Source organism: Homo sapiens, chromosome 15 (assembly GCF_000001405.40).
Source record: "Homo sapiens chromosome 15, GRCh38.p14 Primary Assembly".
NCBI lineage: Eukaryota > Metazoa > Chordata > Mammalia > Primates > Hominidae > Homo > Homo sapiens.
The window spans coordinates 81,133,729-81,153,158 of NC_000015.10; the positions used below are offsets into that span (position 1 = coordinate 81,133,729).

At 41.3% G+C, this 19,430-nt stretch overlaps 1 protein-coding gene across 4 annotated transcripts in view; it reads left to right on the forward strand.

The window, feature by feature from the left end:
* CFAP161 (cilia and flagella associated protein 161) overlaps positions 1-15,451 on the forward strand; it is a 49,772-nt gene extending 34,321 nt beyond the window's left edge. For 2 of the 4 annotated variants that reach the window (XM_006720408.3, XM_017021963.2), the window contains exons 3-8: positions 1,542-1,631; positions 2,788-3,020; positions 4,323-4,407; positions 9,934-10,092; positions 14,130-14,203; positions 14,610-15,451. In XM_006720408.3, the coding sequence (XP_006720471.1) occupies positions 1,548-1,631; positions 2,788-3,020; positions 4,323-4,407; positions 9,934-10,092; positions 14,130-14,203; positions 14,610-14,805 (831 nt within the window). In that variant the 5' untranslated portion in view covers positions 1,542-1,547 and the 3' untranslated portion in view covers positions 14,806-15,451. Of the gene's footprint in view, positions 1-541; positions 671-1,541; positions 1,632-2,787; positions 3,021-4,322; positions 4,408-9,933; positions 10,093-13,566; positions 13,706-14,129; positions 14,204-14,609 lie in introns of those variants that run through there. The other 2 variants (NM_173528.4, NM_001353365.2) reach the window with 2 other exon arrangements.
* Positions 15,452-19,430: the final 3,979 nt, after the last annotated feature.

Sequence of the window (19,430 nt, forward strand, 5' to 3'; positions counted from 1 at the left end):
CAAAAATATGGACAACCTCAGAAACCTATAAACAGAAATATACTAACATGGTATATTTCTTACTTTTAAGGCCCTGAAATTATTAATTTTCCTTTCTTCTTTCTATGCGATTTTGGTTTCCAAATGTGTACATTGAGCAGGTATTGTTTTATGATTAGGGCGAAATTGCTGCTGCTGCTGCTGCTGCTGCTGCTGCTGATTACAAAAAATAGGCTGCAAGCAAGCCGTGCTTCCATTTAAAAGCTCCTCTTTGTTGCCTCGACAAGCAAGGGGTACTCGATAGCACTTTTCGGTTAGATTCTAATAGAAAGAAAGCTTTAAATTTCTCTCTCGGAAGCACTTTGTCAGCCAGGGTTTTCCCTCTCGCCCACCCTGCAGTTAAGGAAATCTAAGAGGTGGAAGTGGGGCGGGCTGGAGGGCCACAGACAGCCGCTGACCCAGACGCCCCATCTCCCGCCCCAGGGCGAGGGTGCGCGCTGTCGCTTATTGGCCAGCAGGGTCCCAGACCTTGACCAATCGCCTGGGGCCGGGTCGTCATGGCGACGCGCCACGCTAACGCATGGTGTCGGAGGGAGGCCCACTTGCTGAACAGCAGGGAGCGATGGCGCAGAACGTGTATGGTCCGGGAGTCCGGATAGGCAACTGGAATGAGGATGTCTACCTGGAGGAGGTACGCAGGGTGTGGCCAGGCGCAGACCCGCAGCTCAGGAACTCCCAGACCCTGCTCTAAGTTCAGTCTCCTACTTTGAGCGCCTCAAGCCTCCTCTCTCTCCCAGCATACAGCGAATACCTCTAAAATCCCCCACTTCTCTAAACTCCCAAGGAATCTCACCTGCCGAACTGCAAACCCAGGTCTCACTGACCTCTACTCCGAGCACCCTGACTTTTCTTTCTCTGGGTCCCTTGGCCTCCCAAAGTCAGATGCCTTGACTCTCAAGCCCCTGGCCTGTGTCTCCCGCTTAGTCTAGAGCCCCACTAAGTCCCCCGTATTCCTTAGAGTCTTACAGTCTCAGGCTGCGGGCCAGGTGAGGACACAGGTTCTAGGTAGAAATAATATCCCTCCCCACTCCAACCCTGCCACGCTTGCCCTCTTAAATGACCCTGAGTATTCCTTTTATTGACGTTGTACTCACTCACTGCCTCGTATTCTCCCAAGGGTGGTCTTAACAAGGCTTTGAGCCATTCGTATACGGGTCAGATTGGGGAGGGGTGAACTTTCTAGTGTCAGTCATCATACGGTCAAGGGAAACCCCAGCAGGGGAGACATGGCCTCCAAATGTCATTTAGGATGGTATCTGGCTGGAGTAATTACTGGTGATGTTTCTTTTTCTTTGTTTTGCCTTTCTCATTTTTCTAAACATTCTATAATGTAGTAAAAATATTAAAGTAGTGCTAAAAACGTTCCATCATTCCAATTATGCTCACATCTCTTTTTTTGTACTCAAATTTTGCTTTTTCAACTTGGAAGAGCTTCTGACCTAAAAGTTATTAATACTAACATCTATATTATTCAGGGCTACTTTTGTTGATTTTCTGTTTAGGAGCTCATGAAAGACTTCTTAGAGAAGAGAGACAAGGGGAAACTTCTCATACAGAGAAGTAGAAGACTAAAACAGAATCTCTTGAGACCGGTAACTTTTTTTTTTTTTATTACACTTTAAGTTTTAGGGTACATGTGCACAACGTGCAGGTTTGTTACATATGTATACATATGCTATGTTGGTGTGCTGCACCCATTAACTCGTCATTTAACATTAGGTATATCTCCTAATGCTATCCCTCTCCCCTCCCCCCACCCCACAACAGGCCCCAGTGTGCGATGTTCCCCTTCCTGTGTCCATGTGTTCTCCATTGTTCAATTCCCACCTATGAGTGAGAATATGCGGTGTTTGGTTTTCTGTCCCTGCGATAGTTTGCTCAGAATGATGGTTTCCAGCTTCATCCATGTCCCTACAAAGGACATGAACTCATCATTTTTTATGGCTGCATAGTATTCCATGGTGTATATGTGCCACATTTTCTTAATCCAGTCTATCGTTGTTGGACATTTAGGTTGGTTCCAAGTCTTTGCTATTGTGAATAGTGCCGCAGTTGGTGGGACTGTAAACTAGTTCAACCATTGTGGAAGTCAGTGTGGCAATTCCTCAGGGATCTAGAACTAGAAATACCATTTGACCCAGACATCCCATTACTGGGTATATACCCAAAGGATTATAAAACATGCTGCTATAAAGACACATGCACACGTATGTTTATTGAGACCGGTAACTTTAAATTCAGACATTGTTTTCAAAATTCTGTTGAACTTGGTGTGAGTATATGTTAAGCAAGAAAAAAATTTCATAACTGAGTTACCATTTGGAAAATAACAGTTTTTAAAAACAATTTGCAATGTTTTAAATTCTTCTAAGATTTTAGAAACATAAACAGTCTGCCCTAAATCATGTTTACCTGCATTTTACAAATAAAGAAATAAATGAGTTAATATGTAAATAAGTAAAATGCCCCTTAGTTGGTAATCGACAAATTTTTCAATGAATGTTGAATTTCTAGGATAATGAGTAAATCCATGTGATTTTAACCAGCTTTATTCGACTTCATTTGGAATTATTGGGAGCTTTGCCTTGGCAAAGGGGAAGGGAAAGGAAGAAGGAACTAAGGGTTCGAGGGAATCCAAGTGAAATCCTGAATGAAATGGGTACTAGTCCGAGAAGGAAGAAAATTGCCTTGGCAGTAACTGTTGAGGAATTGCATGGTTTATGTAATAAACTACTATCAAAATTGTAGATGCAACTTTCCGTAACTGAAGATGGCTATATTCATTACGGTGACAAAGTGATGCTTGTGAATCCTGATGATCCTGACACAGAAGCTGATGTGTTTCTGCGTGGGGACCTGAGCCTGTGTATGACTCCAGATGAAATTCAGTCCCATCTGAAAGACGAATTAGAGGTACCCTGTGGCCTGAGCGCAGTTCAAGCCAAGACCCCAATTGGCAGAAACACTTTTATCATTTTGAGGTAAAGAGACTTTAATTTTCAGTTCATTTTCATCATAAATATGTTTCACTTGTAGCTTAAAGATTCCTGGGTATTGGAGCCACTGAGTGGAGGGAAAGGTTTTGTGAACATTTTTCGTGATTTTCATCTTGCTTTGCTTACCTTGAGAATTATTGTCAAAGGAACTTTACAATCCCTTTTTACCTTAGACAGCAGGATAATTGTGTTCAATTCAAAATGCTTAAATCATGAGTATAGGATCCAGGGAATTAAATCCATATTCTGCCTGGAAGCAAAGTAGGTTTTCCCTATAACATTTTGGAACTTTTTGAGCTCATTTGAGTGTTTTCATTGTTCTTAATACGGCTATTTTTTTTTTTACAATAAAAACGTGTAGTTTAATACAATGTGGCACTAGATGGGATTTTCTCTTTTAAAATTAACTGTCCATTAAAAATGTATTTGAAGAGATTTTGAAAATGAACAATTAAATCCTTAGAGAAGAAATAGATACATGATCACAATTAAAAACTATTACTAATTCGTATGACAGCAATGTAAGCATTGCAAGAATATATGGACCCAGGCAAGGTACAGTGGCTCATGCCTGTAATCCCAATACTTTGGGAAGTCAAGGCAGGCAGATCACCTGAGGTCTGGAGTTCGAGACCAGCCTGGCCAACATGTCGAAACCCCATCTCTACAAAAAATACAAAAAATTAGCTGGGCGTGGTGGCAGGCTCCTGTAATTCCAGCTACTTGTGTCACTGAAGCATGAGAATCACTTGAACCTGGGAGGTGGAGGTTGCAGTGAGCCAAGATTGCACCACTGAACTCCAGCCTGGGGGAAAAAAAAGAATATATAGACAGTTCTTCAAGTTCTAATTTAGATTTCCTTTGAATACATATGTTAAGACAAGTAAAAATTGATCACAACCTCTGTTATCCTGAAGGATTAAGAGGGAACCGTATTAAATGTCTACAAATGTGTTACCTTGGTTCTCTCTGAACATGTCAATGCACTTGACCAGAATTCCTTAGTATACATTAGCAAGATGTGCTTAGTTTACTCTAACCAGAGGCTCACAAAGTGGGGATGCTTTGTGTGCTAGCTATGGTGCAGGGCAGGGAGTAGGGTGCTAGCTGGATTTTAAGACCAAAAGAAAACACCTTTTATTTAATTACCTAATTCAGTTACAGTATGTGAATATAAATTATCAAAAAACTGATTATAAACAAAATTGCATGCATAAAAAATAGAGTCATAGAATGATTCTAATACAGAGAGTTTACATTTACATTATACTTATTGTCCACTGACAGTGTACACAGAGATGCCACTGGTCAAGTCCTTAGATATGGGCAGGACTTTTGCCTGGGGATAACAGGAGGATTTGACAACAAAATGGTGAGTTATCACTTTGCATATCTACTTTGGATCAGTCATTTCTGTTGCCCAAAATGGGATCATAACTATCTACTGAAGTGGACAGAGAACTCCAGAGTCATGGGCTCCACCTCTGACTTCACTATGGTGTCAGCTTGCAGCTTTTCACAGGCAGTTTTGGGCCAAGCCAGTCTTTCCTTTTAACTTCCCAAATTACAAAAACTACACCCTTAAAACCTAAACAGTAAGGGAGGAAAACCATTTCACAATGCAGCTGGCAAAAAGCAAAAGTTTATACCACTTCCACCTGTAAATTAAATGATTGAATTCATTAATAACCATCTGATACCTGTCAAATGTTGCCAATGCTAGCAAGGCATATTATCTGACAACTTTTTTATTTAAACTTTTGATGATCAGACTTTTGCTTAGTATGGGAGTAGGGACAATATGAGATGCTTAAATTTGCATAAATCAGGGAGCCTTGGGGATTAGGAAGTATAATAGAACCAGATAGATTTGGGTTTGAATTTCAGGTGCGTACCTATGGGATGGGAATTTGGGTAAGTTATTTAATGCTTTTTGAGCCTGTTTCTCATCCATAAGATGGTGAGTATTAATCTACCTTACTACATGCCAGGCAGTGTTGTAAATGCTTCACATATTTCAACTCTCCTAATCCCCCAAACTTGCCTTTGAGGTAGGGACTATTTTACCTTTAATTTACTGATGGAAAAACTGAGGCACCAAGAGGTTAAGTGATTTCTGACTCAAGTCACTCAGTTAGCAAGTAGCAGAGCTAGTACTATATCACATTTTTTATTGAATTAAAAATCCATTTACTATATGATGTAGCGTTATTATTATTATTATTTTTGATACCACTAAGAAAACACAATGCTGCCTGCTGGGTGCAGCGGCTCATGCCTGTAATCTCAGCACTTTGGGAGACCAAGGCAAGAGGATCACTTGAGGCCAGGAGTTGTAGACCAGCTTTGGCAACATAGCGAGACCTCATCTCAACTAAAAATTTTAAAAAAATTGGCCAGGTATGGTGACGCGCTCCTGTAGTCCCACATACTCATGAGGCTGAGGTGGGAGGATTGCTTAAGCCGGAAGGTAGAAACTGTAGAGTTTGCACCACTGTACTCCAGCCTGGGTGACAGAAAGAGACCCTGTGTCAAAAAATAAAAATAAAAATAAAAAATAAAAAGAAGAAGAAACGATGCTACCAATTAAACTTTGACACCCCACAGATGGTAAGTTGCAGCCTGATAAATATTGACTTACTGAAAAAAGGGAGTAAATTACCATTTCTTAACCAGAGATTAGCACCATTAACATTTTGGTTTATTTTTACTTTCCTGTGTATTTTTTTAAAACTTAGATAAATATACAGATAGGTTATTCTTTCTAAAATAGCATTTTTAAAGCTTTTTAAAATGACGAAATCATTTAATGAGAGCATAAGATATAATTGTGTGGCGGTATCATAATTTACCTAGTCTTTCTTCTACTTTTGGGCAGTTGGGTTTGGTCCAATATTTCTCTTTTATATGTAAAGTTCCAGTGTGCATTTGTGTATAAATGCTTAAATCTTCCCCTCTCAAACTTCAAATTAGGAATTCTACCTTTAGGATAGATTTTTGGGCAATGAATTACTAAGTCAAAGAATATGAACACATTTAAAAGTATTGATACATATAAAGAGTTCTTTTTGTAATGGGGTGTACCAATTTGCACTCTCAGCAACAGTAAGAATGATCATATACTGCTTCATTAATTGTATTAAATATCATAATTTAAAACTTTGCTAATTTGACAAGCAAACAAAATGAAAAGAAAAAATGATATGTAAATGTTGTACTACTTGTAATTTCTCCTATATTTTAAGTTTGTTCTCTTTCCCTTATCTCTTCCTTTCTCTCTCGCTTCTTTTTTCTTTCTCCCTCCCTCTCCTCTCTCCTGCAAATCATCCGTTTTTTGCCTTTGTGTTGATTTGGGTTTATATACCATTGATTACTAAATTTTGTCATATGTGTTGCTAATATTTCCATTTGCTGCTTGGCTTTTAAATTGTAGTTGTTCTAATATTATATTTTTGAGTAAAATGTAATTCCTTCCATTGCTTTTATGTTTTTAAGACTGCTTCAGAGATCTGATAAAAAGAAAAACTAGAATTAGCTTCTAGATGTTTGCAATTTGACTTTTGCTTACATTTATTATTTAATCAACTTGGGATTTATTTTGATAAAGGGTTTTATGTGAACATCTCATTTTGTCCCAGATGACTGGTCAGTTATATCTATTATCCCTTGAATGATTATTCCTTTCTCTACAGGTGCATGACATTTCCCTTAGCATATATTAAATTACTGTATATACTACCCTGTGCTTCTGAGCTTTCTATTTTGATCCATTAAACCCTAGTTGTCTATTTCTTTTTTTTTCCTTTTTTTTTTGAGACAGGGTCTCACTCTGTCACTTAGGCTGGAGTACAGTGTCACGAACATGGTTCACTGCAGCTTCCACCTCCCAGGCTCAAGCAATTTTCCTGCCTCAGCCTCCTGAGTAGCTGGGACCACAGGTGCACACCATTATACCTGGCTAAGTTTTTAAAATTTATTTATTATTTATTTATTTATTTATTTTTGTAGAGACGGAGTTTCGCCATGTTGGCCAGGCTGGTCTTGAACTCCTGAGTTCAAGTGATCCTCCTGCCTCCACCTCCCAAAGTGCTGGGATTACAGGCGTGAGCCACTGCACCCAGCCCAGTTCTCTATTTTTATTCTAGGACTATAGTGTCTTAATTATTAGAGCTTTATGATAGGGCTCATAGCCCTGTGACCTTGACAGCTCATAGGGCTAGTTGCCTCTCATTACACTTCTTTGTCTGAATTATGTTAGGAATTAATTTCTCAGTTAAATATAATGGTTATTTTTTTCAAGTCCTTCTGCCCCTGTGGGGAAAAGATTACTTGGTATTATATTTTGATTGGCATTGTAAAATTAAGTAAATTCACATATTTAGTAACTTTGCCATATTTATTCTTCTGAGATGTCTCTCCATTTATTCTGTCAGCAAAATTTTCTATCACCCAGTAAGATTTTGTGGTTTTCTTTACATGGACTTGACAATGATTTTGTTAAGGGTTTTTCCTTGGTATCTTGTATTTTCAGATGCTATTGTAGAGAGGTCCTTTTGATAGAATAAGGATAGAACATTTGATAGAATAAAGGATAATTTCTCTTATAAAAATATAAGAAGGCTATTGATTTTTATATTCACCTTTGATGAGATCACTTACTCTTATTAATTCTATAGTTTTTTCAGTTGATTTTTTTATGTTTTCTGGGAAGACAGTCATTTAATCTTCAAATGATGACAATTTTCTCTCTTCCTCAATTCTTATACCTCGAATTTTGGTTTCTTGTCTTTGAATTAGCAAACCCTTCTGGGGCATTCATAGAAGCGTTGGTGAAATAGTGGCCTACTGGGTTAGTTCCTGATTTTATTATGGTTTTACTTTAGGTGAACAAGGCAGTTTGTGGTTTGAGACAGATAGTATTTGCCTTTTTTTTTTTTTTAAGTTGGTGTCTCACTCTGTTGCCTAGGCTGGAGGGCAGTGGTGTGATCTCGGCTCACTGCAGCCTCTGCCTCCCGGGTTCAAGCGATTCTCATGCCTCAGCTTCCTGCGTAGCTGGGATTACAGGCACCTGCCACCACACCTGGCTAAGTTTTGTATTTTTAGTAGAGACAGGGTTTCACCATGTTGGCCAGACTCTCTCGAACTCCTGACCTCAAGTGATCCTCCTGCCTGAGTCTCCCAAAGTGCTGGGATTACAGGCATGAGCCACTGTACCTGGCCTTATTTGCCTTTTTAAATTCTGGTTTTCTTGTTGCTCTGAAAGGCACCATCATCCAGGGCCAATGGCGAATCTATCTTGGGCCCATCTCCCTTCCCCACCCACGTCCAGCTGATTACCAGGTCTCTTCCGCTGTTCCTAGGCTCTTTTCTCCCTTCATACTGCACTTTGGCCTGTTTCTCTTGCCCCAGTGCAGCCCCTCAGCAACCCAGGCCCCATTGCTTTGCCCTTTTAGTCTATCCTGACTTCAGACCATACTAGACAGGGTGCTGCCAGGTTGATCTTTTTTTTTTAATTTTCATTTTAATTTTTAAAATTTATTATTATTATTATTTGTTTTTCAGGTTGATCTTTTACAAGCACAGGTCTGGTCACCCCCATCCTCACTGGAGTCAGCAGTGGCTCCCCATTGCCCTTTGAATGAAGTTCTGCCTGTTTGCTGTGGCATTTGAGGCCTTCTGTAATACATCCTCACCCTCTCTGTGTTCACCCCCTCTGGCTATCCAGCCTCCTCCTCAGAGCCTCTTTTGATCCCCCAGGAAAGCACCGTGCTCCTACCTCTGCCTCCCACAGCTCATTGCAAATCTGCTGGACCTCCCTAACCAGAAAGCTGCATGCAGGTGCTTCCCATTTTTGTGCTCAATCACCTCTTCTGCTAGGTGGAGAACCTCATGAGGATAGTAACTCATCTCTGCCTTCCCCATAGTGCCTCACAGCACAGCCTTGCATGGGAAAGGTGCTTATTGGAAACCTGTCAAAATATGCAGAAACTACCTCCACATTCAGGGCGGGGCTGAACCAGTGAAGAACTAGCAAAGGACTAACATTTTGGACTTTTCAGCAGGATGGGGGTTGTTTCCTGGCAAGGTTACAGGCAGCCAGATAGCCGACATAAATTTCCAGCATGGACATCAATTCCAGAGGGGTGTGGGTCACCTTGAAGGCTCACAAATGAATATCAGCTGTGAGGATATTGATTTGAAGAATAATTCATTTCACGTGATGAGTTTAATGCAACATCATTTATATTAAATAAAATATTAGTCCATGGCTGGGCATGGTCGTTCACACCTATAAACCCAGCACTTTGGGAGGCTGAGGTGGGAGGATTGCTTGAGACCAGGAGTTCAAGACCAGCTTGGGAAACAGTGGGATCCTAGCTCTACAACAAATAAAAAAAAATCAGCTGGGCATGGCAGTGTGCACCTGCAGTCCCAGCTACTCGGGAGGCTGAGGTGGGAGGATCACTTGAGCCCAGGAGTTGGAGGCTGCAGTGAACCATGATTGCCACTGCGCTCCAGCCTGGGCAACAGAATGAGACCCTGTCTCAAAACAAAACAAAACAAAACAAAACAAACCCATTGGTCCAGTTCCTATATCCTGAAGGGGAACAGGGGACAGGGAGTAGGAAGGAGAGAGGAAGATTGAGTTTGGTATTCAGAGGAAGGAAAAGTAGTTGGAGATGTGAGTGTGTGTAGGTGTGTGTGTGTGTCTTGGTCTCAGCATGCCAGATGGCATATCTAAGGTAGAGGAAAATTGTGCTTTCTCATACAATCAGTAAGAACAGAGTTTTTGAGAACTGCTTTGAATGTGCTTGCCGTCCAGCCAGTCAATTGCTTCTTTATTCTCCAGCTTTTCACAGAGCTCTGACTTAGTGCATCTGCTTGCTGTCATTTTCAGTTGTATTTGTCAAGTGACCACAGGACCCTCCTGAAATCGTCTAAGAGGTCTTGGCTCCAGGAAGTGTACCTAACAGATGAGGTCTCCCATGTGAACTGCTGGCAGGCTGCCTTCCCTGACCCCCAGTTACGCCTGGAATATGAAGGCTTCCCCGTCCCGGTGAGTGCAGCATCGGGAAGACATGGGTGTCTAGGCTATGAAATGGATGCAATTTATTCCTGTCTATAACACACAGACTTATAGCTCAAATGCCTTATGACTTTCTCTCTCTTTTCTGTCTTTTTTTTTCCATTTATAACACACAGACTTATAGCTCAAATGCCTTATGACTTTCTCTTTCTTTTCTGTCTCTTTTTTTCCATTTATAACACACAGACTTATAGCTCAAATGCCTTATGACTTTCTGTCTCTTTTCCGTTTGTAACACAAGTTTGGGAGGTACTAATCTACCCCATGGCAGCATCCTGCACTAGAGTTTCTCACCTCTGGCTGCACGTTAGAATCGCCTCAGGAACTTTCTAAAAAGCTCAGGCCCTGCCCCTGTCATCAGGATAAGAACCACTGATGTGCGATCATGAGCGTTGTGACACTGCTTCCTTCGCACTGTTTTCGCTAAGGCCTCCGCTAAGTACTATTTTTTAAGGACTTTGAGCCCAGGTGCGGTGGCTCACGCCTGCAATCCCAGCACTTTGGGAGGCTAAGGCGGGCGGATCTTTTGAGGCCAGGAGTTCAAGACCAGCCTGGGCAACATGGCAAAACCCCTGTCTCTACAAAAAATACAAAAATTAGCCGGGTGTGGTGGCACACACCTGTAATCCAAGCTACTCAGGTGGCTGAGGCATGAGAATCTTTTGTACCCAGGAGACAGAGGTTGCAGTGAGCCAAGACTGTACCATCGCACTCCAGCCTGGGTGACAGAGTGAGACTCTGTCTCAAAATAAATAAATAAATGAATAAATGAATAAATAAATAAATATTAGCCAGGTGTGGTGGTGAGCACCTGTAGTCCCAGCTACTAGAGAGGCTGAGGTGGGAGGATCACCTGAGCCTGGGAGGTCGAGGCTGCTGTGAGCTGTGATTGTGCCATTGGACTCCAGCCTGATCAACAGTGAGACCGTGTCTCAAAAAAAAAAAAAAAGAAAGAAAAAGAGCTTAGGGAGTCTTGGAGAAGCCAAGGAGACAGCAGGGTAGCCACATAGTCAATGCAGTGGTCCTGCAGGACGGCATCATTCTCATTATCACTGTGCGACACTTTCTCCGGATGCTGGGACCCATGGGACTGGAACCTGAGGCATGGTCCTGACGGGAAGGTGGGAGGTCTTGTGGGCACAGAGTAGGCCTCCCTATTTCAAGGACCAGAGGCTTTCCTGCTCACGAGGCATCCAGCAGACATGTGGATGTGTTGGTAGCCACTGCGTTGACTATGGAATTAGTAGCAAGCATGGCCAGGGTTCGCTTGCTACTGGCCAGGAAGTGGCCGCAGTTGCAGGCCACTGAGTCCACCCGATGCAGCATGCCTGTCCCTCACCTCTGCCAGGTGGACCCTGACTTCACAAGGTTCTTTCTCTGAGCATGGAGGACATATATATTATCTACAATGAAACAGGCTTTACAAATTATTCTCTTTAGATGTCCTTTGCTAAGCTTCGCTCTTCTGAGAATTGCCTTCTAGTTCCACAATTTAAACTGCCAGTGCCTCAGTTTCCCTATCTAAATTTGGGGTGTTAATAGTACCTACCTCATGAGGTTTTGTGAAGACTAAATGGTTAGTACATTTAGAGTGCTAATTCGAAAAGTGCCTGGCTCACAGAAGCCACCCACAAGTGTTTCTTGTTGTCATGACTGTTGTTGTTATATTGTTATTGTTGCTGGTTTTTTTAAGAGGTTAAGGGAGCAGTCAGTGTTCCAGGCACCAGGAGTTCTTTTCTCCATTACTGATTCACCTTATGGCTTCAGGAAAGTCTCCCCAGGCCTCACTGAGACATGGTTACACATCTGTAAATGGGAAACCCCAAACCTGTCTGAGCTACCTTGCACATGTCAATGACCTCTGGCTAGAGAGACCACCAGGAACAACTGTGGTTTAACAGGTTGGGTAGATTACTTATTGCAGTGAGGGAGAACACACACCATGGGGAAGCATGAAAGAGGGTGTTAGGATGCTTATAGAATTTGGGCTTTGGTTGGGTGGTGTTGGAGAGAATCCCGAGAAGTGAGGCTTTGCTCTGGACTGGATGCTGTCAGGAAGTGGGGGATAACTCTATCATTGGTTATCTCAATAAATCTTATCTCTAGGGAGGGCCAGACTAGAGTGAGGACAAAGCTGTCATTAGTAAAGAAGCAGCAGTCAGTCGCTCATATTAGCTGGGAGAGGCCAGTGTTTGGTATTTAGTGGCTTAGCCAATGTTTGTGTTTTGTGTGTGTTCAGATATGATTATAGAGTGCTCTTGTTTTTGTTTTGACCCCTCATGATCACAGAGTAGCCTTGTCTGATGTGGACATTCTGTGAAGTTGATTCTGTTCCCAGGAGAACACTAAAGCCTACTTGTCAGTGCCAGGCCAACCCCTGGATGGCAGGGCTGCCTTTTCTTTCTTACACAGCTTTTAACTTACATGAGTCAGGATTTTGAAATAATATATATTTTTCCTGATTATAAACATATGTTCACTTATGAAAAGTCAGGAAAGCAAAAAAATAATATGAAAATTACCAGTAGTTCCATTTCCAGAGAAAGCCATTGCTTATCATTTCTTTTTACAAGATAGGACATCATGAAGATACTTCTTTTTTTCCATTAAATAACATCATTGACCATATCTTGTGTGGCAAAGATCTTCTCCAATATAACTTTGAGTGATGATTTCATCATACAGATATCTACAATAATGTATTTCATCCATCCATTATGGTTTGGCATCTAAATTTTTCTGTGTCTGTGTGTGTATAAATATATATACAGTCATGTGTCACTCAATGATGGGGATAAGTTCTGAGAAATGCATCATTAGGCAATCGTGGTCACCCTGACAATGATTTTGTCATTGTGTGGACATTGTGAAAGGAAAATGAATCTTGGGACCTAAACTCACTATGTCAAAGGGAAAGTCAGGCTGGGAATGGGGTCATGCAAACCTGCCTCCCATTTTGCTCTTAAATAGGATAGCTACAAATATATATATATATATATATATATATATATATATATATATATATATATATATTTAAAAAGCTACATACATCCCTCACAATTTGCCCACAAGGAAATTCCTTGTGGGAAGATCTTTACCTTAAAACAGTTATGTGGAATGTTACCCTGACAATGTAAAGTGGTAGCTTATCTTCACAGTGTGGGACAAAGGACAGAACTAAAAAGTCATCCTTCCTCTCACCTGAGACAAAGGCATATATGAATGCTCCCTCTGCCCTGTGTTTATTTCATCTTACGTAAAAATGCAGATTCACCGAGCACAAGACGAATGCATAAGTAACTATTCCTCTACCGCCCTCTCACATGTAAAATGTGTATTTGGTGAACACTGACTGAAAACTCAAAAGAACGCAACTGCTTGCCTCTTTTATTTACCCTCCTTTTTTGGTTGTTGTTGTTCTTTCTTTCTTCCTCTCCCCCCCAGTACCCGCTCTTTTCACTTTAAATATTGAGGTCCCCGGACCCTCTTCGGGAAAAAGCATGGACCACCGATTTTTCCTGTTGGCCTGTGTTCTTTTTGGTGGACGCATCTTTGACCTTGGCAAATAAACCTCTTAAAATAATTGAGACTCGCCTCAATAATTTTCTTTGATTTATACATCATAAATGTACTTACACAAACCCAGATGGCATAGCCTACTACACACCAAGGCTACACGGGATAGCCTCGTGTTCCTAGGTGTACAAACCTGTAAGGATGTTACTATACTGAATACTGTAGGTAACTGTAACACAGTGGTAAGTATTTGTGCATCTAAACACAGAAAAGGTACAGTCAAAATAGGGTCTTACGGTCGCATAGGTGGTCCTTTGCCAAATGAAATGTTGTGAAGTGGCACATGACTGTGAATATATATAATTTTTTTCTACTAAATTGAAATAAATGTATAGTATAATCCCAAATTTTTGCTTTTAGGTAAGCTTTTCCCTAAAAGCAAAAAAAAAAATGTTTAGAATGCTAATAACACATTTTCTTTATCTGTTAAGGCAAATGCTAAAATTCTCATCAATCACTGTCACACAAATCGGGGACTGGCAGCCCACCGGCATCTTTTCTTAAGGTATTGTATTTCAGGGTACAACAAAATGCTGTGATTGGGGCTGGGGGCCATGAATATAAGCAAAGAAGCTCAATTGATAGTGTATGGCTGCACATACAAAAAATGTCCTTTGCTGATGAAATACCGCCACATAGAACTTCAATGGTGTGAAAAATCCTATTAGAGCCCCTTCTTTTATACAAATCCTACCCCTACAAGAGGACTTTGGTTCTAATGGGATCCTACTGGCCTAATCTTTGCCCAAATAAGGTGTAACCTCCCTGCAAACATGTCCCATTTTAGAGATTCCCTAGGGCTTTATCTAGCAATCCGCTTCTTAAGGTGCTTTCGAGATTAAATTATTAATAACAGCTTATTGAGAGTTGTTATTCAATTTCAAACCACAACTGATTCTCTCTTGCTCCAGCACCTATTTTGGAAAGGAGGCTGAGGTTGTAGCTCACACATACCTGGATTCACATAGAGTTGAGAAACCAAGGAACCACTGGATGTTGGTTACTGGGAATCCCAGGGATGCCTCGTCCTCCATGTTGGATCTGCCCAAACCACCCACAGAGGACACTCGAGCCATGGAGCAGGCCATGGGCCTTGACACGCAGTAACACGCCAGGCACGTGCATGTTTTCCCTGGTCCCGCTCTCATCAAATGTAGCTTTAAAAGAAATTAACAACCTTGGTCATGCCTCAAGCTATTTTTGAATCAGATGTGGGACTCTCTGGGCACTATATTAAAATAAAGATTACATTAAGATTATTGAATTTGTGGTGGGAGTCTAGGGCTGAAGAAAAACAGCTCTGGAGAATAATTAGTATTTGAAAGTGACAAACAATAGCCTTTTGTTGATAAACAAATTCTGAAGAACTCAGCTTCCTCTACTTATATCCTTCATTGTCTACAAGGACAGTGCGTTACTTTTTAAAGTTATGTCTATGTAATAAAGCTGTTGGACCTATACTGAATTTTTGGTACCACAGTTTCCCTCTTGAATGTACTAAAACACAAAAAACTGACAGCTCTGAGCTGTGGCCTTACCTTGGAATTAAACATTTCCACCTTTGTAAAACATCCTATTTTTGTTTCTACCTTTGGCTTTCCAGGTCAGGACCTCTACCTGATCAGTAACCTATTATTTTGTAATGATTTTTAAGCTGCAGAATCTCTACCTTGTCTTTGAAACTGGCACATTAGTTGTGGCACCCATGTGATTAGATAGTTCCTGACAAAATAAATGTATGTCCTTCCATGTATTTGTTCATCTGTTCATTCCTCATTGAGTGCCTGTGATGTGTAGGGTATTATAAAGGGATGTAGGGTTTCCAAGTCTTATAGATACAGGTAAACAGGCCGGTTCACAAATATGTATACTGAGAGGTAGAACATGGGCTGTAAATGTGTTTTAAATAGATGCAGTTTCAGTCAATGCAGACTGACCCTCTTCAAGAAGGCAAGCATTTTCCATCAAGTACTGCAGGATTTAGGGCAGTGGTTCCAGCCTTGGCTATGCGTTGCATTCACTCTGGGAACTGTAACAATTACTGATTCCTGGTCTGAGCCCAGAAATTCTGATTGAATGGTCTGGGGTACAGCCTGGGCACTGGGCTTTGTCAGTGTTCTTTAGATGGTTCCCATGTGCAGCCACAGCGAAGACCCACTGTGTTAGGAGGTGGAGGAGGAAGCAGTGGTTCCTTAGGGTGGTCAGAGGAGGCTTTCCTCAGCAAGTCTCTCTGGCTGCACATTAGAATCTCCTGAAGAATACTGAAAAGCCCGCGGCCCAGGCTGCACTCTGGACCATTCAATCAGCATTTCTAGGGTAGGACATTAAAAAAATACAGATGCTTGGGCCCACCCCAGAGCTTCTTATTTTATTTGAAGTGGAACCCAGGTATTCGTATTTTTAAAAACTCACTAATTTATTTGATTTAAATTTAATTAAAAATTTTAAAAACATTTTTAATTTTTAATTTTTGTGGGTACGTAGTAGGTGTATATATTATGCGGTACATGAGATTTTTATTTTATTTTTTTTTTTTTTGAGATGGGGTTTTGCTCTTGTTGCCCAGGGTGGAGTGCAATGGCACTATCTCCGCTCAACACAACCTCCGCCTCCTGGGTTCAAGCGATTCTTCTGCCTCAGCCTCCCGAGTAGCTGGGATTATAGGCATGCACCACCACGCCTGGCTAATTTTGTAGTTTTAGTAGAGATGAGATTTCTCCATGTTGGTCAGGCTGGTCTCGAACTCCTGACCTCAGGTAATCCACCCACCTCCCAAAGTGCTGGGATTACAGACGTGAGCCACCGCACCTAGCCATGAGATGTTTTGATACAGGCATGCAATGTGAAATAATCACATTATGGAGAATGGGGTATCTGTTCCCTCAAGCATTTATCCTGTGTGTTACAAACAATTCAATTACACTCTTTTAGTTATTTTTAAATGTACAATTAAGTTATTGACTATAGTCACCTGTTGTGCTATCAAATAGTAGGTCTTATTCATTCCTTGTAACTATTCTTTTTTGTGCCAATTAACCAACCCCACCTCCCTCTCAGGTCCCTAGTACCCTTTCCAGCCTGTGGTAACCATCCTTCTACTCTCTATGTCCATGAGTTCAATCGTTTTGATTTTTAGATCCCACAAATAAGTGAGAACATGTGATGTAAAACTTGCTAATTTATTTTAATGTGCAGTCTGGGTTGAGAACCTCTGGCTTAGCTGAGAGTTAGGTCTGCCTGTGTGTCTCCAAGGGGTGAGACCAGGTGGGTTTGGGCTTCAGCTGGGGAAAGACATTCTTTAACAGTGTGAGCCACCTGAAAGCATCTAAACCAATTTCAGTGCATTCTTGCTCCTACCGTAAGATATCCACGGAAAGCTTCAGACAACATCAGGGCTCTTGATCCTTTCCTAAGTGATCCTCCAATGGCTTCTTGACTGAACACCGAGAGGTTTCCACCAGATGGAAAGTCTTGACTATGAGTTTTCCAGGTTTTTGGCACGTTGAACAAAGAATTGAACAAAGTGCACAAACAGAGCAACACAAAATGCACAAAGTGACAAAAGAATGAAGCAACGCCATAAGCAATACAAGCACAGATTTATTTAAGTGAAAGTACACTCTATAAAGCACAAGCAGGCTTGGGCAAGAGGCTCAAGAGCCCCGATTACAATGTTTGTTAGGGTTTAAACTAAGCTAGAAGAATTTTGGTAACACCCCTTGGTGCCCTGTGGAGGGTTACACCTTATGAATAATTGGCCCACGACCAATCAGAGGCTGAAGTGGAGACTTGGCCCATGACCAATCAGAGGCGGAAGTGGAGACTGCCCGCAGCCAATTAGAGGCTGAAGTAGAAACTTGTTGTCTTGTTATCACAGGAGTGAGGTTGTGGCCTCTATGCTGCCTAATCTTGCCTAGAACCAAGGACTGGTGCCATATCAAGGGCTCAGTGTTGGTCACTGCTGCTGGTAAATTGGGCACTTGACCTGTAGCCAGGTCAGCCTTGGTGAGTGGAAGTCCATGTTGCTGAGCCCATGCCTTAACCCTTGGTTACCCTAACTCCCTATTCTGTCTCAGTTTTAGTGTAACCAGGAATTAGTGCCACCGACCAAGTTCGCACTCAGGTAATCAGTGACTGACTACAGTGACTGCTGGGGGCGTGACTGCCGCCTGGCTGACGGTGATTGTGAAGCACTTCATTTTAATGTACACAGACAGAGTTCAGAGACGTTAAAAGATGGAAAAGAGAAGTCTGTACTTCTCAGAATAGAAGAAAGACAATAAATAACTAGAAAGTGAGCACCTACATGCATCACCTCGTGTTATTTACAAATCAGTATTTCTACCTTGGGTCTGTTGTGCACCTCAAAATTATAAAGGGCTTTTATACTCATTTTCTTATTTAATTTTCACTACTCTCTGGGGTTAGACCAGGTCTTGTTCTTTGCTGTTTATCTCCATTTCCTGGGAAATATCTGTTAAGTGAATGAATGAATGAATCAACAGATGAATGGATCCGTAACTTTTACAGAGGAGCCAGGCTTAGAGATTTGTTCAGGGACACAGCTCCTAAACAGCAGAGCTGGGGCAGGACCAAGTCAGATTCTTCTATCCCTTCTTCTGGACAAGGGCCTTCTAATCTAATTTTTTTTCTAATTCTTTGTTGTGGTTGCTTTCCTGTGCATTATAAGATGTTTGCCAGCATCCCTGGCCTCTGCTCACTAGATGAAGTAGCACCCCTCCACTCATGACAACACAAAGCGTCTCTAAACATTGCTAAATGTCCCTGGGAGGGGTCTGCTATTTAAGGACCAATAGTCTAGACCTACTTCTAGCTGTTTTTTATTTGCCATTTATAAAGGATGCTGTAAAATGGGTATTTATCTCTCTCTCTCTCTCTCTCTCCTTCCTTTTCTTTCTTTCCTTTTTTTGTGTCCTATAGAGATTAGAATATGTGGTCTCTAACATGACTTCCAGATATATTAATAATCTGCTTTTAGCATCTGAGCTGGACTTTGATGGAAACTTAGAATATTGGCAGGGGGAGACTGGCTCTCCAGGATGCAGCCGCTGTATGGACCTGTGTACAGTGACTTTGGCACACAGCACCTCTGCAGCGACCTCCAGTGTGGGGCACAGAGATGCTCATTGAGATGTGAAAAGAAGAGTTTAGAACTCTGCGTATATCATTATTTTATCCTTTAAAGTGCATTAATGTGTGTGTGCTTTATACGATCCAAAATAGTTTTTATTTTTTACCTTTAAAAAAGTTTATCTTTTTATTTTTACACTTCATTGTGTAAAATTGACAAAATATTAGTTTTTTTTCTTTTTTTGAGACAAAATGTTTTTAAATGTACATGACATTTTAGCTTAATGGGCATGAGTAAAATTTATTAATAGAATTACATATAAATGTATGTGTGTAGCAAATACCCAAAAGGATTGCTTATTGGGAAGGGTGCACAATCACAAATTGTGGAGAGCATCCTGCGTGCTGTGTGCAGTCATTCATTATACAGAAAATGCCACTGAGTCACTTGCTGCAACGATGCCTGCACAGCTTTGTCCTGAGTCATGGACAATGGGCTCCTCCCAGCTCTAAGGTTCACTTTCTTTCAATTGAACAAATGTTTATGAATTGTTTGACAGTAAGGAACAAGGTAAGGACTCTGCAAATGCAAGAGAGAGGGAAGAGGAGACCATCTGTGTGATTACGCACAGGCCATGCTG